The sequence below is a fragment of the Homo sapiens genome, chromosome 8 (assembly GCF_000001405.40).
Source record: "Homo sapiens chromosome 8, GRCh38.p14 Primary Assembly".
Lineage (NCBI taxonomy): Eukaryota > Metazoa > Chordata > Mammalia > Primates > Hominidae > Homo > Homo sapiens.
In genome coordinates, this window is record NC_000008.11 from 35,077,913 (window position 1) to 35,095,199 (window position 17,287).

General features: G+C 36.3%; 1 long non-coding RNA gene across 2 annotated transcripts, besides 1 other annotated feature; it reads left to right on the top strand.

The window, feature by feature from the left end:
• The first annotated feature begins 2,668 nt into the window (after positions 1-2,668).
• Positions 2,669-15,877, top strand: LOC105379369 (uncharacterized). Of its 2 annotated transcripts, none has more exons than XR_949664.2 (3): positions 2,669-2,797; positions 2,957-3,058; positions 15,226-15,877. It is a non-coding gene; the product is annotated as an uncharacterized LOC105379369 (long non-coding RNA). The 2 variants fall into 2 exon arrangements; XR_949666.2 differs by lacking the exon at positions 15,226-15,877 and adding an exon at positions 4,977-5,035.
• Positions 4,468-5,667: an enhancer, noted in NCBI's record as "CDK7 strongly-dependent group 2 enhancer chr8:34939898-34941097 (GRCh37/hg19 assembly coordinates)". NCBI's record gives its function as "activates an origin of replication core promoter dependent on BRD2, BRD4, P300/CBP, MED14 and CDK7 cofactors, with strong dependence on CDK7, by STARR-seq in HCT116 cells {active_cell/tissue: HCT116}" and the evidence as "EXISTENCE:reporter gene assay evidence [ECO:0000049][PMID:35650434]".
• Positions 15,878-17,287: the final 1,410 nt, after the last annotated feature.

The window sequence follows — 17,287 nt, forward strand, 5'->3', positions numbered from 1 at the left end:
TCAAATGTCAATAAACTCACATAATGAGTTTATACCTGAAAGGACTCAGCCTGTTCACAATTGTCTTTCTAGAGGAAACTACGAGAGAATGGTCTTTATCCAACCAAAAGATACTGTGAAATTTGGGGTGAAAGGACTGACAGTGAGCATTTAATATATATAATTATAAATGTAACATGAAAACAAGGATGATGAAAATGATGGAAAATATTGTATAGATATGATTTCACAAAGAATAAAGAATTCAACTTAAAAAATCAAAAAAGGAGTGAAAATTTAAAAATAAGTTAATTGATTGTTGGAGTGGAGATTAAGAGATAATCATTTTACGCTGACAAACCAACCATAGACATGCACGACATGATGACATTTCAGTCAACAACATATCTCATATATAACAGTGGTCCTATAAGATTATATTACTGCATTTTTAAAGTATCTTTTCTATGTTTAGATTCACAAATATTTTCCATTGTGTTCCAATCACCTACAGTATTCAGTACACTCACATGTTGTACAGGTTTTCGACCCAGGAGCAATAAGCTATACCATATAGCCTAGGTGTGTAGCAGGCCACACCATGTAGGCTTGTGTGAGTCCACTCTATGATGTTCATGCAACAACTTGGTTGCCTGACAACACATTTATCAGACTGTATCCCCGTTATTAAACTATCCATGACTGTAACAAATGTAAGAAAAAGGGGAATTAAAGGTGCTGTAAAAGGTAAAAATAAAAAGATAATCACTAGAACAAATAAGACATCACATTTTCAATATACTAAAGGAAATTGTTTTAAAGTGCAAAGAAATTTATATAACACCCATTTTAACTTCCCAGAAATAGTCAGTTAACTAGAATTATTTCCAGTGTCTCCTTCTCTCTTCCAACCCTTTTTCTTTCTCTTTCTCTCATGCATTCTCTCTCTTTCTTCATGTGCATTATTACTATAAACTTGAATTGTTGAATTGTATTTTCATTTAATATTTTGTCATGAGCATTGTCAGTGACATCAAATGTTCACTAAAACATGACTTTTAATAGATTCTTGTATATTCCATATAATGGATGAATTGATATATTTGTTCTAAAATCTTACTGGCTCATTGTGTTTTGTAATCAAGAGTGTATTCATTTATTTATTCACTTAAAATGCCTTTATAAGATGCCACATGTTGTACATGATACATCTATGAGCAGGACAGAATTATCCTCTGCCTGTCTAGGAAGAAATTTAAGCAAATAATAATGTGAACTGCACCTGGGAACAGGAGATTAAGACCATTCAATTATACTTCCTGAAGGTCTCTATTTTAAAATTGTTTCTAAAAGTACCATTTCTCCTTGACATTTTTCTTTCTCCATAATTGGGAATACATGTACATTCACCTTTTCATTCTACAAAATTTTAAGTTTATATAAAACATGTTGAACCTATTTTTTTCTTTAACTATCAGTAGCATTGATGGTAATGGTATCTTAACTCTTAATATACAACATTAGCTGTTCTTGTTTCCTCTTCTGTTCTCCCTCCATTATTAGTTTTGTTGTTATGAACTGGAACTTTGGATTCATATTTTATGAATAATCATGTATTATTCACCAAATATCATCTTTAAAGAATTGTTTTAAACATTTGCCATATTCTATGAACATTGTAATGACTATTAATTCTGTATGCATCTGCTATTGTTCATAACCTCAGTCATTTTATACCACAACTTGTTCATTTTTGAATTTCTTACGTCAACTCCTTTTTTGGTTGGCTAGAGTATTTTAAAATATTTTTTCTAGGAAAGCAGTATCTTTGTTGATATTTAAATATATTGTTTGTATAACATTTTAAAGGGCGATTACTGTAATTTAATCAAAAAAGAAGTCAGTATGTTTTGACAAAATGTATTCTTGAAAAATGAAAAATTATTAATAATCAGTTTAAATTTCTTTGATATGCAAATGTACATAATAGGTAAATCTACAGAGACAGAAATTACATTATGCGCTGCTTGGGGCTGCAGGACTGAGTTGATGAGGGGTGATGCCAAGGGATATGGTGTGGAGTTTCTTTGGGAAATAATGAAAATATTGCAAAATGCATTGTGGTGATGGCTGCACAAATCTATAAAAACACCAAAAGCCATTGAACAGTTCACTTTAAATGAGTGAATTGTATGGTTTGTGAATCATATCTTGATAAAGCTGTAAAAAAGAATCAGCTTATTATTTTTACTGTTCAGTAGTCAATTTGCTGAAATTTATCTTCCTGAAACCAGAGACATCATTTTGCTCATTTATCTCCAAGCTTTTGGCATCTCTTCTCTTCACCAGGGTTTCAGACTCAAAGTATAAACTAGATACAAATCACAGCATCAATACACATTTCACTCTGACTTGGCTTGATATAATAATACAGATTTAAAAATCATTCCCAATGTTTACACTTATTTCTACTTTGCTTTTATCTGTGTCTCTGCTGTCTCATGTTATGCTCTCCTTACGCTTTCAACTGATTAGCCAAATAAGCTGTAAAGAATGGATTTGACCTGGCCAACTAATTCATGTTTTTGTTTAAGGACCCATCCTGTGACCCTAGGAAACATCACATTCCACAAAACTCCATCACAATGGCCAAACCGTTATGCCAAATGCCAAAAGTTCTAAAGTGAAATTTAGGGCAACAGAAGAAATTGGAAAAGACATTTGGAAATACAAAGAGATTTTCGAGGATCCTGAAATCAGGGCACAGGTGCAGCTGCCAGCCCTGCCTCCTGTTCATGCTGGCTCTTGAGTGTCCCTGGTTTGTACTTCCACTGTCTGCATTAAACTTCTGGGGACCATTAAGGCTGATATTTCTCCAAGGAGCTCCTCTTCCCTAACTTGGGTGGCTAAATGGCACCTTTATATTTAGTTTGGTTTTTATCCTCTCCTTCATGGTCCTCTCCCCTACAAATTATAGATGGAAGATGTTTAAGGCCAGTGCTATGAAGAAATTAATAAGTTCAAATACAGTATCTGAGGGGGATTGGTTCCAGAACCTCCTGCAGATACCCAAATCCAGGTATGCTCAAGTCCTGATATACAATGGTGTAGCATTTGCAATCTACTCACATTCTCTTTATACTTTAAATCATTTCTAGATTAAATACCTAATAGAATGTAAATGAAACCACCCTCATAGGGTTAACAAGAACTAAATGGTGGGTTCTGGGCAGAACTACAGTAATAATTAAGCATTAATCAGGCTGCACTCTGGCCCACTTCCTTGTAACTGAAAGTCAGGTAGCACTAGGTACTGACCATTTGCACCCCCATTGCTCCTGTAGATAGGATTTCGATGTTAGAATCCTAAGGCTTTTGTTTAAGAATTGATTTGCATACTTGTTCCTATAAGTAGAAACATTGACATAAGAATCACAAGGCATTTTGTTTAAGAACTGCTTAAGAGGGTCTTTAGATCCTAAATTCCAGTGGAAAGGCTGATGCCAACCAATTTAAAGACTTCCACAGAGAAACCCAATCAGCAGGAGAGTGCAGTTTCCTCATCTTCCCATCCCATGACTTTACCTTGCACTCCTATCAGTCAGTGATCCCCATACCTCGGCCTACTGCAAACTACCTAAAATCCCTAGCCCAAACTTTTTGGGGAGGTAGATTTGAGGTTTCCTCCCATCTCCTCGTTAGGCTGCTGTATAATAACCAAACTCTACCTCTGCTGCCATCCCCAGTGTCTCAATATATTGGCTTGCTGTACATCATGCAAGCGAGCCTATTACATACATGCTATGTAAACAGTTGTTATACTGTATTGGTTTTTATTTTCATTTTTTATTGTATTGTTATTTTTTGTTGTTCTTTTTCTTGAATATTTTTGATCCATGGTTGGTTGAATCTGCAGATTTGAAACCCACAGATACAGAGGACCCACTGTAATTCCTTTTTTTTTTTTTTTTTTTTTTTTTTGATGGGGTCTGGCTCTGTCACCCGGGCTGGAGTGCAGTGGTGCAGTCTCAGACCACTGCAACCTCTGCCTACCGGGTTCAAGCAATTCTCCTGCCTCAACCTTTTGAGTAGCTGGGATTACAGGTGCTGACCACCATGCCCGGTTAATTTTTGTATTTTTAGTAGAGACAGGGTTTCACCATGTTGATCAGGCTGTCTGGAACTCCTGATCTCAAGTGATCTGCCCACCTTGGCCTCCCAAAGTGCTGGCATTACAAGCGTGAGCCACCGCAGCTGGCTTCCTTTTTCATTTATGTTACATTATTGAAACTTTTAATAAATTTTGGCATTTTTTTCTTCTCTTTGTCTAAAAGAATGATAAAAAGTCTTAAAAATTCAGACAAGACATTTATGAAGCCTTAGGGGAAAAAATAAGAAAAATACAAATGGAAAAAGCATGCTTTTTGAGAAGGTTACCAGTATTCTTCTGGATACTTTTTTTTAATAACTAGAAGAAGGACGACAAAAAGCCATATGAATATATTGTTACATTAAGTCGGCACCACTTTCTAGTTTCTGGAAGTTTGTGGAAATGAAGTGAACATGGATGACACCTTACAGTGAGCATCAGCCAAGAAGGGAAGTCTTGCCTCCTTGGGAGCTGAAAAAATGAAAGTGGACTCTAAGGCTTTGAAAGAGCCTTCCAATGCCCTGCCATTTACTACCACCCACTCTGTCCAGATCCAGTAATTATGGTAATTACTGTCATTGGTAATTATCAAATCATTCTTTGGGTGAAAATGGTACGATCATCCCTGGTAATCTGCTGCTGTTTAACCAAACTGCAAATGTAATCTTTAGCTAGCTTTGGTCTATCTTGGTACTCCTTTGCTTCAACATAGGCCCCATTCTCCCTCTAATGTCCTGTGGAAATGAATGCCTATCAGTTTTTCCTGGGTTTTGATGTTGTTTACTCTGGTTTTTCAATTTAAATAGTGCACCTTTTTGCTCCATTTATCTTCTTTGTTATTTTTCAGGTGGATCATCAGAAACTTCCCTAAGAGATTTACTCCTAACTCAAACTGTAGAATCTAGAACTATATATCCTCTCCTAGTGCCCAGTATTTTAATGGGGTCCTCTTGCAGCACTGCTGTGATAATATATTCTCATGTCATACTTACCATCTCAGGAAATGACTGCACCCCTGACTCACATCAAGCTCATGGTCCACCACGCCTGCCCTCTGGTCTTTCTCTCTCTCACTTGCATGTAACTCCTTCTGTCAATTGACAAAGTTAGGTTTGACTTTATAAGAAGAACCTTTTCTTTGTTTCCCTTGCCCTTTTGCAGGTTTCCAGGGAGGCACAAGTGTCAGCTGTCAAGGCAGTTTTTAATTATTGACTCATCAGGCTTGGCCTTCCCAGGGGAAAGGGAAACTGCTATTTCGCATTTGTGCTACGGAGGGCAATGACTAAGATATGATAAATAAATAACAGTGCATGATGGATATCTGATCCTCTGCAAGCCACAAGAGAACACTTCTGTCAAAGCAGCCATGCTTCTGTCTCCTTTTAACAAGGCATCGTCCTTTAGCAGCCACAGCTGCCACTGTGAAACAATGAGCATGTGCTCAGAGCACCCATTTTTTCTATGCTTAGAAAAAGAGGGTGGCAACCTTCATAAATCCTACATTGTAGGGCTTGTCTATTTCATCCTTCCTCTGCCCTGCTTTAAAGGAAGAAGAATGGAAATGAGATTTCCTCCCTGAAGACCTAGATGCATGACCTTGCTACATCATTGTAGGACTCTTAGCAATCCACTGTCTTTCCGTTCTTCAGTTTCCTTATCTATAAAATTGAGATATCACTTCACTCTGCCTATACTACATCATTACTCTGAGACCCTGTGGAAATAATATGTATAAAAATATAAAAAGAAGGGGGCCAGGGGCTGAAAACTTTCTATTGGGTACTATGTCCACTATCTGGGTGATGGGATCGATAGAGGCCTGAACCTCCGCATCACACAGTATACCCTTGTAACAAACTTGCACATGTACCCACTGAATTTATAATAAAAATGGAAATTTAAACAATTAAAAATAAATATATATGTAATAATATACATTTTATTTGAATTATTAGCTGTTTTCTTCTCTTTCCCTATTTCACTTTTTTTAAGCTCTGCGAAAGCTGAGGCTTTCTTTTGCTCACTGCGTGCCTGACACATGGTGAGCACTCATTCAATATTTAAGGAATAAATGCATTAGACAATGAAGAAATGAGTTATGTATCTACCATGCAGCTACTGTGGCTGCTATTGGGTCATAGGAAAGTGCGTAAAATAGGCATAACCTCTGCCTTTGTGAGATTTATAATTTCACTGGAAACATAGAATGCTTCTAATAAAGACATCAACTTTCCCTTAAATTAGACAGGACTGGAAGAAACAGGGATGAAGAAAAAAAATAAGTGAAAATTTGAAGCTGTCAAGTTTATCTTTAGGATCCAGCTTTTTTCTTGTTGGTCTATATCTCCCTTCTGTTGACTTTCTTCTGCTCTACTCTCCTCATTCCGTTTGCCCCCTTACGGCCAATTCTGGTTTTCTCCTATTTGCAAACTCTTCTTATGAAAATATATAGGTGATTTTTATAGCATTAATGCATCTCCCTTTGGGATTTTCTATGTAGATGATTATGTCATCTGAAAATAAAGAAAATTTTTTTTCATTTTTAGTACATATGCCTTTTTTTCCCCCTAGCTTGTCTTATTGCATTGGCTAAATAGCCAGTATAAAAGCTTTCTTCGATTCCTAGTTTTGCTAAGAGTTTTTCCTGCAATAGTGCTGCATTGTGCCAACTTTTATTCTGCATCTAATGAGATGCCCATATTATTTTTCTTTTCTGTTAATATGTCAAATTACATTGATTGTCTTTTCATTGCTAAACCAACTTTGCTTTTCTAAAATATGTCCCACGACCCATAATATTTCCTCAACTTTTATATATATATTGCTGGATTTAACTTGCAATTTTTTAAATTTTGGCGACTATGTTCATGAGGGATATTTGTGTGCAGTATATTTATTTTGGAAATATCTTTGTCCATCTTTGATATTAGTATTTTGATGATCCAATAAAACAACTTGGTGTTTTCTACTCTACTTTCTCAGTATTTATGTAAGATTGGTAGTTTAACATTCTTAAACATGTAGTAAAAGTCACCACTAAAGCAACCTGGACCTGGAATTTTCTTTATGGGAAGATTTTTGATAAATAATTGAATTATTTTAAAGAACATATGAGTCTTTATATTTTGTTAATCTTTTTTCAGTTTTTGATAAGTTTTTAATTTCATGGAATTTAGTCATTTTGTCTGAGTTGCCAAATTTAGGGGCGTATAATTGTTCATAACATTCCCTTAGTATATTTTAATATCTGTGCATCTATGCTGTCATGACAATAAAGGACAAAATTCTGTTATTTTCTCTATTATTTATTTATTATTTGTTTATTGTGACAGGGTCTCACCCTGTCACCTAAGGTGGGGGCAGTGGTGCAATCATGGCTCACTGCAGATGACCTCCTGGCTTCAGGCCATCCTCCCATCTTAGCCTCCCAAGCAGCTGGGACTACAGGTGTGCACCACCACATCCGGCTAATTTTTTATTTTTTTGTAGAGATGAGGGTCTCACTACATTGCCCAGGATGGTCTTGAATGCCTGGCCTCACCCATCTTCCTGTCTCAGCCTCCCAAAGTGCTTGAATTACAGGTGTCAGCCACTGTACCGGTAGTTTTTTGTTTTTTATTTCATGGATATCTACTCTAATCTTTATTACTTCCTTATTTTTGATAACTTTGGTTTTACTTTGTTCTTCTTCTAAGTTCGTCAAGTATACCTATGGATCTTTGATATTAGACATTTTCAGTTTTCAAATATAATAAACATTTAATGCTATAAAGTTTCCTGTAGATTTTATTCATTTTGATTTTTATATTTTCATTGTAATTTGGTAAAATTAATTTAAATATCTCTTGTAATTTATTCTTTGGTCTATTGAGGACTTACAGATATCTTATTGTTACTAATTTATCATTTAATTTCATCGTGATTAGAAGATATAGTCTGCAAAATTTCACTCCGTTAGCATATTGAAATATTCAAACATTTTTGCCATATTGAAACTTCTTTTATAGCCTAGAACATGGTCTATTTTGGTAAGCATACTAAGTACACTGAAGTAGAATATGTATTCTGGTATAATGTTCTATAAATAATAATTAGTTAAAAGAAGTGCCTAGTGTTGTTCAGGGCACTTATGGCCTGACTGATTCTGTGTCCAGTTCTATCAGTTACTGAGAGATGAATGTTAAAATTTCCAATGAAATACATGGATTTTTCTGTTTCTTTTATCAGTTGAATCAATATTCACAGAACTATTTTGAAACTCTGTTATTAGCCATATACGTATTTCTGATTAGTATAGATTCCTGAAGGACTGAACATTTCATCATTATGAAGTGTCCTTTTTTTTAATCTCTTGTAATAGTCTTTGTCTTAAGTCTATCTTATGTTAAGATAGCCACTCCAGCTTTCTTATGGTTATTGCTAACAAAGCATATATCTTCCATTCTTTATTTTAAACTCTCATTTTCTTCACATTTAAGTGTGTTGTGTGCTGCTGTTGTATTAGAATTGAGTCATGGTTCTTTTTCAACTCTAATAACATCATCCTTTAATTACAATGTTTAGTCCATCTCCATGCAGTGTAATTACTGATAACAATTGAGATATAGCTAGAAGTTTCTATTTGTTTTCTGTGTTTCCAATTTTTTTATTCCCCATTCCTATTTCTTGCACTTTTTTTTGTTAATTCAATATATTTTAGGATTCTACTGTAATTTATCTAATGACTTTTAATCTATCCTTTTTTCTGTTGCTTTTAGTGAGCTTGATGTACAGACTAAAATCCAAATCATTAACTTTTCAAACTACTTAGAGTTACAATTATCCAACATCATATAAAAGAATCTTGCAATTGTGCTTTTGTTCTTTTTAATGTAATTTTTCATGATTTACCTCAACATACATTACAAACTCCCAAATAAAACTTATAAATTTTGCTTTAAGAAGCCATTTAAATTATACAAAAATAATATAGAGAAATATGTCTTATAAAATTGTATATAAATTTTTATATAATCATACAGGAAATAAGATAAAAATTAAGCTCATATTTATATGCATATTTATCATTGCCATATCCCTCATTTCTCTCTGAAGATTCAAATTTCCATCTAGAATTATTTCCCTCAGTCTAAATAATTGCTTTTACATTTCTTTTGGTACACATCAGTTTAGAAACAAGTCTTTTCATTTTTTATTTATCTAAAAATATCTTTTTTTGGCCTTCATTCTTGACTTATACTTTCAAGATATAGAACTCAGAATCGGCAGGCCTGGGTTTTCCCCTTTCAACAGTTTATGTATCATGTTTGCCTAGTTTCCAGGTTCCCTTGTTCTGAACAGAAGTCAATATTATTCATTTAATATAATGTGCCATTTTTTTTTTTTGCTTTCTAGATTTTTTCTTTTTCTTTTGTCCTCAGCAGTTTTACTATGATATACCTAGGTGTGGTTCCTTTGTATTTATTCTGTGTGGAGCTATTTGTGCTTCTTAAATCTGTAAGCTTATACCTTTCATTTATTTGTGGATTTTTCAGACATTACTTCTTCAAATGTATTCTTTGCCTGTTCTCTTTCTTCTCTCCTTTTAGAATTATTACATTTTAAACTTATTCCATTTTTTAAATTACATTTTTTGTAAGTCATTTGGTATTGCCAAACATAATTCTGTCTTCAATGTTTTTTTTATTTCTCTTCTTCACAATGAACATTATGTTAATCAGTTTTAAAGTTTTTTGGTTATTTCTTCCCTCATCTCTAGTCTTCTGTTGAAGCCATTCAATAAAATATTCTTTATTTTAAACATTTTAGTTCTCAGTTTTAAGATATTCATTTGACACTTGTTTATAATATTTATTTTTCTATGGATATTTTATTATCTGTTCCTTCATTATAAGCATATATTTCTTTCATACTTTAATACAGTTAAAATAGCTGCTCTAAAACACTTGTATGCTAATTCCAATACAAGGATACCAACACCTCTAGGTAGTTTTCAATTGATTGTTTCTCCTCTTGATTATGGTTCAACTACACTAGTTTCTTAATATGTCTAAATTTCTAAAAAAAATTTTATTGATACATAATATTCGCACATATTTAATGGGTACATATGATATTTTGATACATGCATAAAATGTGTAGGAATCAAGTCAAGGTATTTAGGAATCCGTAACTTCAATGATTTATCATTTCTTTGTGTTTGGAACATTTCAATTCTTCTCTTCCAGCTGTTTTGAAATGTAAACTATATTTTTGCTAACTCTACTGTGCTTTAGAACACTAGAACTTATTCCTTCTCTCTAACTGTATGTTTGTACCATCTACCCCTCAGCATGCACACACACACACACACACACACACACACACACACACATACCCTTCCCAGACTCTAATAACTATCATTCTATTCTCTATCTCCATGAGATAAACTTTTTTAGCTTGCACATATGAGTGAGAACATGCAATATTTGTCTTTCTGTGCCTGGCTTACTTTATTCAATGATCTCCAGTTCAATCCATGTTGCTGCAAATGATATTTCATTCTTTTTTATGGCCAAAGACTATTACTTTTTATTGCATACTTCACTTTGTTGACAACACATTGTAGAGTCTGAATTCAGTTAATCTCCTCTGAACAGCAGTGGTTTATTCTAGCAGCGACTGAAATTACTGACTGATCACTTGGTTTTCGCATCTTGCTCTGTATTTGGGGTGGGGGAACCTATTTCAGCTTTGTCTTCCGTGTTAGCCATATGCTTAGTCCTAGGATGTAGTGATTACTTTTAAGGTATGATCCTCCTGGGCTTCCGTTAAGAAAACTAAAAACTAAAGTGTCCTTAACAAATCAAATCTTCTGACTTGATAGGATCCCAACATCAAATTCTGTCTCTCACGCAGAGGTCCTTAACTGAAATATCTTTTTAGACCTCCAGTTTGTTGCTTATTGGTGGGCGGTTTGGAGCCTCACACATACATTCACAGTTTGTGGGTCAAATACTTGAGGAGAATTTAGACACAAATTTGGGTACTCATCTCCTAATCAATTTATCTTTTCCAGAATCCTCACCCCTAATTTTCAGTTGCTCTGACAGCTTTAAACTCAGTTTTCTCACTCCTCAAGGTGACAATCCTGAAGTTCTTAGCTTAGGTTCTAATTGTCCTGCACCAACCCTACTGCAGAATGAGCAGTAACAATGTGAACACAGAGATCACCTACTGTCTGTCTGTCTTTCTTTCTTTCTTTCTTTCTTTCTTTCTTTCTTTCTTTCTTTCTTTCTTTTTTCTTTCTTTTTTCTCTTTCTTCTTTCTTTTTCTTCTTTCTTTCTTTCGCTTTTTCTTTCCTCTTTCTTTCTCTCTTTCACTCTTTCTTTCTTTCCTTCTTCTTTTTTTTTTTTTTTTCTCAGAGTCTCGCTGTGTCGTCCAGGCTGGGGTGCAGTGGAGCAATCTTGGCTCATTGCAACCTCCGCCTCACGGGTTCAAGCTATTCTCCTGCCTCAGCCTCCCAAGTAGCTAGGATTACAGACATGTACCACCATGTCCAGTGACTTTTTGTAATTTTAGTAGGGGGGGTTTCACCATGTTGACCAGGCTGGTCTTGAGCTCCTGACCTCGTTATCCACCCACCTCAGCCTCCCAAAGTGCTGGGATTACAGGCGTGAGCCACTGTGCCCAGCCGTGTTTGTCTTCTTTCAAGGGCTGAATCTTCTCAAATTCTGCTGGCTTTTGGTCATTCCTCAGTGTGATCAAATAATTGTATGTAACTGTGTAAGCACACGTGTGTGTGTGCGTGTATTTGTGTGTGTGTATATATATACACGTATATAAATATATATATACACGTATATATATATACACGTATATATATATATACACGTATATATATACATACACGTATATATATATATATATACACGTGTGTATATATAGTTACATATAGTTTTTAATTGTTATAAACTGCTCCACACTTTCTGAAACTGGAATTGGGTGAGAGATTTTTGTTTGGTTGTTTCGTTTTGTTTGAGTTCTCCCTCTGCCTACCTGACCTATCCTATCACTAGGTTTTTCTTCATCTCTTAAGAAAACATTTCAGCTTTGTCATTATAACTAATCATTTGCAGCTATCTTTGCAAGTTTAAAACTGGACCTTTTCTGTGTCAATGAAGAGAAATAGGTTAAGATAATAAATTGAGCAAATATGAATCAAAAGTGTGATTGAATAGGACTTCGTATCTCTCTGTTCTCACAGACTGAGCATAAAATAAACATGTTTATGAAGCAGGAACAATTATATCCTCTGGTTTTAGGACTATAAAGGGATTTTTACATCTATTAATTAAATATTATCGGCACAAATATTAAAACATTCATGGGACAATAGACAATATCTTCCCTTGTGCATTTTTTTCATATTTTTCTCCCTTCTGTAAATTAGTTTATTCAACAAAGTTTTGCTGAACATATATATTTAGGTAATGGAGATTAAGCATTTTTTAAAAAAATTCTTCAGAGGTCATAATGTAGCAGAAGAGAAAGATCATTCTTTTTCTGGTTGTATTTTGCCTTATAACATCTATTTAATTTTTGTCTTGTCTAATAAAGTGTTTCAGAATTGTTTGGGGCCTAGCTGGATTAATTTACAAATAGCCTATGTAATTCTTATAGAGCGAAAGTACGTGCTTCAGCCCAATTAGTACTCTTAACACAAGACTTTTAAAACAAATAAGCAAAAGAAAAAAAACCACCACCTTGTTAGAGGCATTAGAATAAAGGAACGGTTGAAAGTCAAGCTAATCATCCCCTAATTTTCTACTCTTGTACCAGGGGTAGAATAATCTCATGGTATGAACATTCTGCTCTTGCGAAGTCTGTATCTTAGAGAAGATATGATGCTTGATAAAACTCCTGAATTTTACATGGTTCGGCCACGGGCAGAGTTGGGTTTTCAGGGAAGCTTCTGTGTAGGGTGGAATTAATAATGCTCACACAAGCTCCAGTGAATAACGATGGCTTCACTGCTGTATATGCCCTTTAGAAGTCTCCACACACATGTATTCATCAAGTGCCTATCTGTTAAAACAGGGTCAGCTTATTCCTCCCCTCTAAGACACCTAAAAAAACAGACTCCCTGGTTTCTGTCCTCTGAAGTGGAGATTAATTTCACTAAGGATTAAATAAGTTTAATATATCAAATTATTTTTTTCAGATTAATCTAGTTAGCTGGTAGAAATTTGTTTTCAGAACAATACATATGGATTGTTCTCTTCTTCCTATTTGTATGGAAAAACCCCTTTTAAATACTAAAAATTATTATTAGAAGTCACTCCTGTTTTATCTGTTTTATCTCTGGACACTGTATTTATTCAAAGATTACTTCTCAAACCCCAAAGTCAAAAAACCAGCCCTTTAAAGTTTTACTTGATATTTCTTAGACATGATGTCATTTTTTTACCAGATCTTAATGAAGTTGTGAACTGCTTATAAAAATCTGGGGCTTTTATTGGGGTTCACCCCAAAGCCTCATCAAATTTTAACATCTAACAAATGCTCAATAAAAAGTCATTGTTTAATCCCAGAATAGAAAACTACTATCAAATATTATTGCCAACAAAATGATAAGCATTCACCAATAGCATTTTTCTCTATCTCTCTTTTTTTTCTTTTGGAGACAGAGTCGCTCTGTTGCCCAGGCTGGAGTGCAATGGCACAATCTCAGCTCACTGCAACCTCTGCCTCCCACGTTGAAGCCATTCTCCTGCCTCAGCCTCCAGAGTAGCTGGGCTTACAGGTGCACACCACCATGCCCAGCTAATTTTTGTATTTTTAGTATAGACAGGATTTCACCATGTTGGCCAGGCTGTCTCGAACTCCTTGCCTCAAGTTATCTCCCCACCTCGGCCTCCCAATGTGCTGGCATTACATGCCTGAGCCACTATGCCTAGCTTCTATATCTCTTTCTAAAAGGGCGCAGCCCCTTGCTGGGAGTTTTTGTAAAGGTGAAGTGCTAGGTTCATGATGGAGATATGCTTCCTTCTTTAAGACAAATTTGAGAAATTTGAGAAAGAAACTTATCAGATTTTAGGAAAAGGATAAACCAACCAATTTGAGGTAGGAGGTGAAAGACTAATGATAACTCAATATGAATCCTAAAATTATATGTCGAGGAAAAAATAAGACATTTAAGGAGAAACGAGGCTACTGCACCTGGAAAGGGGCCCAGATGCTCCCTCTCAACTCAATCTTTGAACACTGACTCTGTGTATTTACTAAGCATCCTTTAGAAGGGAAAACAAACAAGGCTGGCAGGTCTTTTCTTGATTCTAGTTCATCCATCAGGAGTGGACCTTCCTTGGGCTCTGGCTCACGACTGGGATTTCTATCCCAACAGAAGTGAACACCCCTCTAAACAGCATTTCACATAATCTAGCTCATTAAGCACTCAAGGCAATCAGAAGGTTAAATTACACAGAACAAACACCAGTGACTTGTGTACATGTAGTAGGAGGAAGAGGTGTCCCTGGAGGGCAGAGAGTGGCAGGGCTGGTAATTTTATGAATTGTATCGTTAACAAAATATATTTTATTCTATTTGATGCTGACTTTGGGAAGTTCCTGTGTGATGATTACATTTTTAAGCAGACAATTTTTTTATGACTTTACCCAAGGCTAAAGAGAAATCTAATACAAAATTCAAAAAGACTTAGCTGAAATGCCCATTAAAATTTTAGTTGTGTCCTTTTAGGAGTTTTTAAGAGCTAAAAATTCAAAGCTGCCCAAAACAGAAAAAGAGGTAACTTTAACTATTGCATAACTCAGAGTGGGAAGCTTACAAACAAAAGTATGATCGTTCTATATTTTTAATTTAAAAATTTTAGAAACTCTTATTTTCCTGGTTCTTAATATTTAAGGAAAGTTTGTGTATAGAGACAACTATCTTATTATTGACAACTGGAATTTTTTTCAAGTTAATGAAAGACAAGTTATTATCTTTTCTGATATCTTACAAACCTAGAAGAGTGCTTTGCCATAAGTTAATTAATTATGAAGTTTTAAATCTACATAATTACAGCTTTGTTGACATCAGTACCTTCTATTTTTCAGAATAGTGCAGAAAGGTGTATACTAAACAACATTTGGAAGAAGAAAAACCTGGCATCATTCTGAGAAAGTATTTTCTCTAACTCTGAGCATGCAGTTAATTCTATGGATAAACTGAAAGGAACAGGATGGATATTGGACAGCTTCCCTGCTTTTCTAGAATCAAATGCAAAACTATTGTTTTAATTCAAATCAATTATCAAACTGTGCCACATTATTCTTCTTATTTTTAATCCAACGTTTAAGGAGAACCTTCTGTGAGCAAGATCATTCTCTGGGCATAAGGTATATTCAAAGATAACTAAGATAGTCTCTCTCTCTCTCTCAGAGAGCTCGTAATGTGTACAGGAAATAAATTACATTTGTTGGCAAAAACCTATAGCATCCCATGGAATAAAATGTGACACAGGCAAATTGCAAAACTCACAGAGTTCCTGGTAGAAAGACAAGTGTTAATGTTAAAGCTAAGAGTATGAGCTCTAGATTGAAAATGGCTGCGTTCAAATACTAACTCGGCCAACATGTTGTTTGACTTTGGGGAAACTATTTAACTTCTCTTGCTTTAATTTCCTTACCTGTAAAATTTGGGAATAACAGTTTTACCTCAATGGACTGGTGTGAGGATTAAAGGAGATGGTAAACGTAAAACTCTTCATCTAGAGCCTGGCATGTTCTAAATCTTCAATAAATCATGTCTATTTCAATTATTAAACACCTAAAATTGTCTCATTACTCACACTTCAGATCCATCTTCCATTAGTTAGAAAAATTAACAGGTGACTATAATGTATATTCATTCTAAATGTGTGAATAGAAGTAAAAAATCTCTTCATGAATGGAATTTAGTGAGAGGGAGACAGAAAATAGATTAGATGGATCTCCAAGGTGGAAACAGTACATATAATTGCTCTAAGTATGTTTAAAATATTGAAGAAAACCAGCAAGAAGGTAAGTACGGCTGCAGCAGAATTGGCAATGAGAGGTAGTAAGAGATGAGATTTGAGAGGCAATGGATGAGGCTGATAGAATATGACTTTCTAGGCTCTTGAAAGGTCTTCAATTTTCCTTTGAATAGAATAGGAAGCCATTACAGGGTTTGCAGCCAAGAATTGACAAGATCAGACTTACATTGCAACAGGGCCATTCTGGTTGCATGTCAGAATCAATCCAGATTTGGCAAAGACGGGGTGGCTGCCGGGCAGAGGGTCTCCTCACTTCTCAGACGGGGCGGCCGGGCAGAGACGCTCCTCACCTCCCAGACGGGGTCGCGGCGGGGCAGAGGTGGTCCTCACATCCCAGACGGGGCCGCGGGGCAGAGGCGCTCCCCACATCTCAGACGATGGGCGGCCGGGCAGAGACGCTCCTCACTTCCTAGATGGGATGGCGGCCGGGAAGAGGCGCTCCTCACTTCCTAGATGGGATGGCGGCCGGGCAGAGATGCTCCTCACTTTCCAGACCGGGCAGCCAGGCAGAGAGGCTCCTCACATCCCAGACGATGGGTGGCCAGGCAGAGACGCTCCTCACTTCCCAGACCGGGCGGCGGCTGGGCAGAGGCTGCAATCTTGGCACTTTGGGAGGCCAAGGCAGGCAGCTGGGAGGTGGAGGTTGTAGCGAGCCGAGATCACGCCACTGCACTCCAGCCTGGGCACCATTGAGCACTGACTGAACGAGACTCCGTCTGCAATCCCGGCACCTCAGGAGGCCGAGGCTGGTGGATCACTGGCGGTTAGGAGCTGGAGACCAGCCCGGCCAACACAGCGAAACCCCGTCTCCACCAAAAAAATACGAAAACCAGTCAGGCATGGCGGTGCGCGCCTGCAATCGCAGGCACTGGGCAGGCTGAGGCAGGAGAATCAGGCAGGGAGGTTGCAGTGAGCCAAGATGGCAGCAGTACAGTCCAGCTTCGGCTCGGCATCAGAGGGAGACCGTGGAAAGAGAGGGAGAGGGAGACCATGGGGAGAGGGAGAGGAGGGAGAGGGAGAGTAGGGAGAGGGAGAGGGAGAGGGAGAGGGAGAGAGAGAGATCATGTCTTTTTATCCCTGGTACAAATCTCAATGTCTAGCAC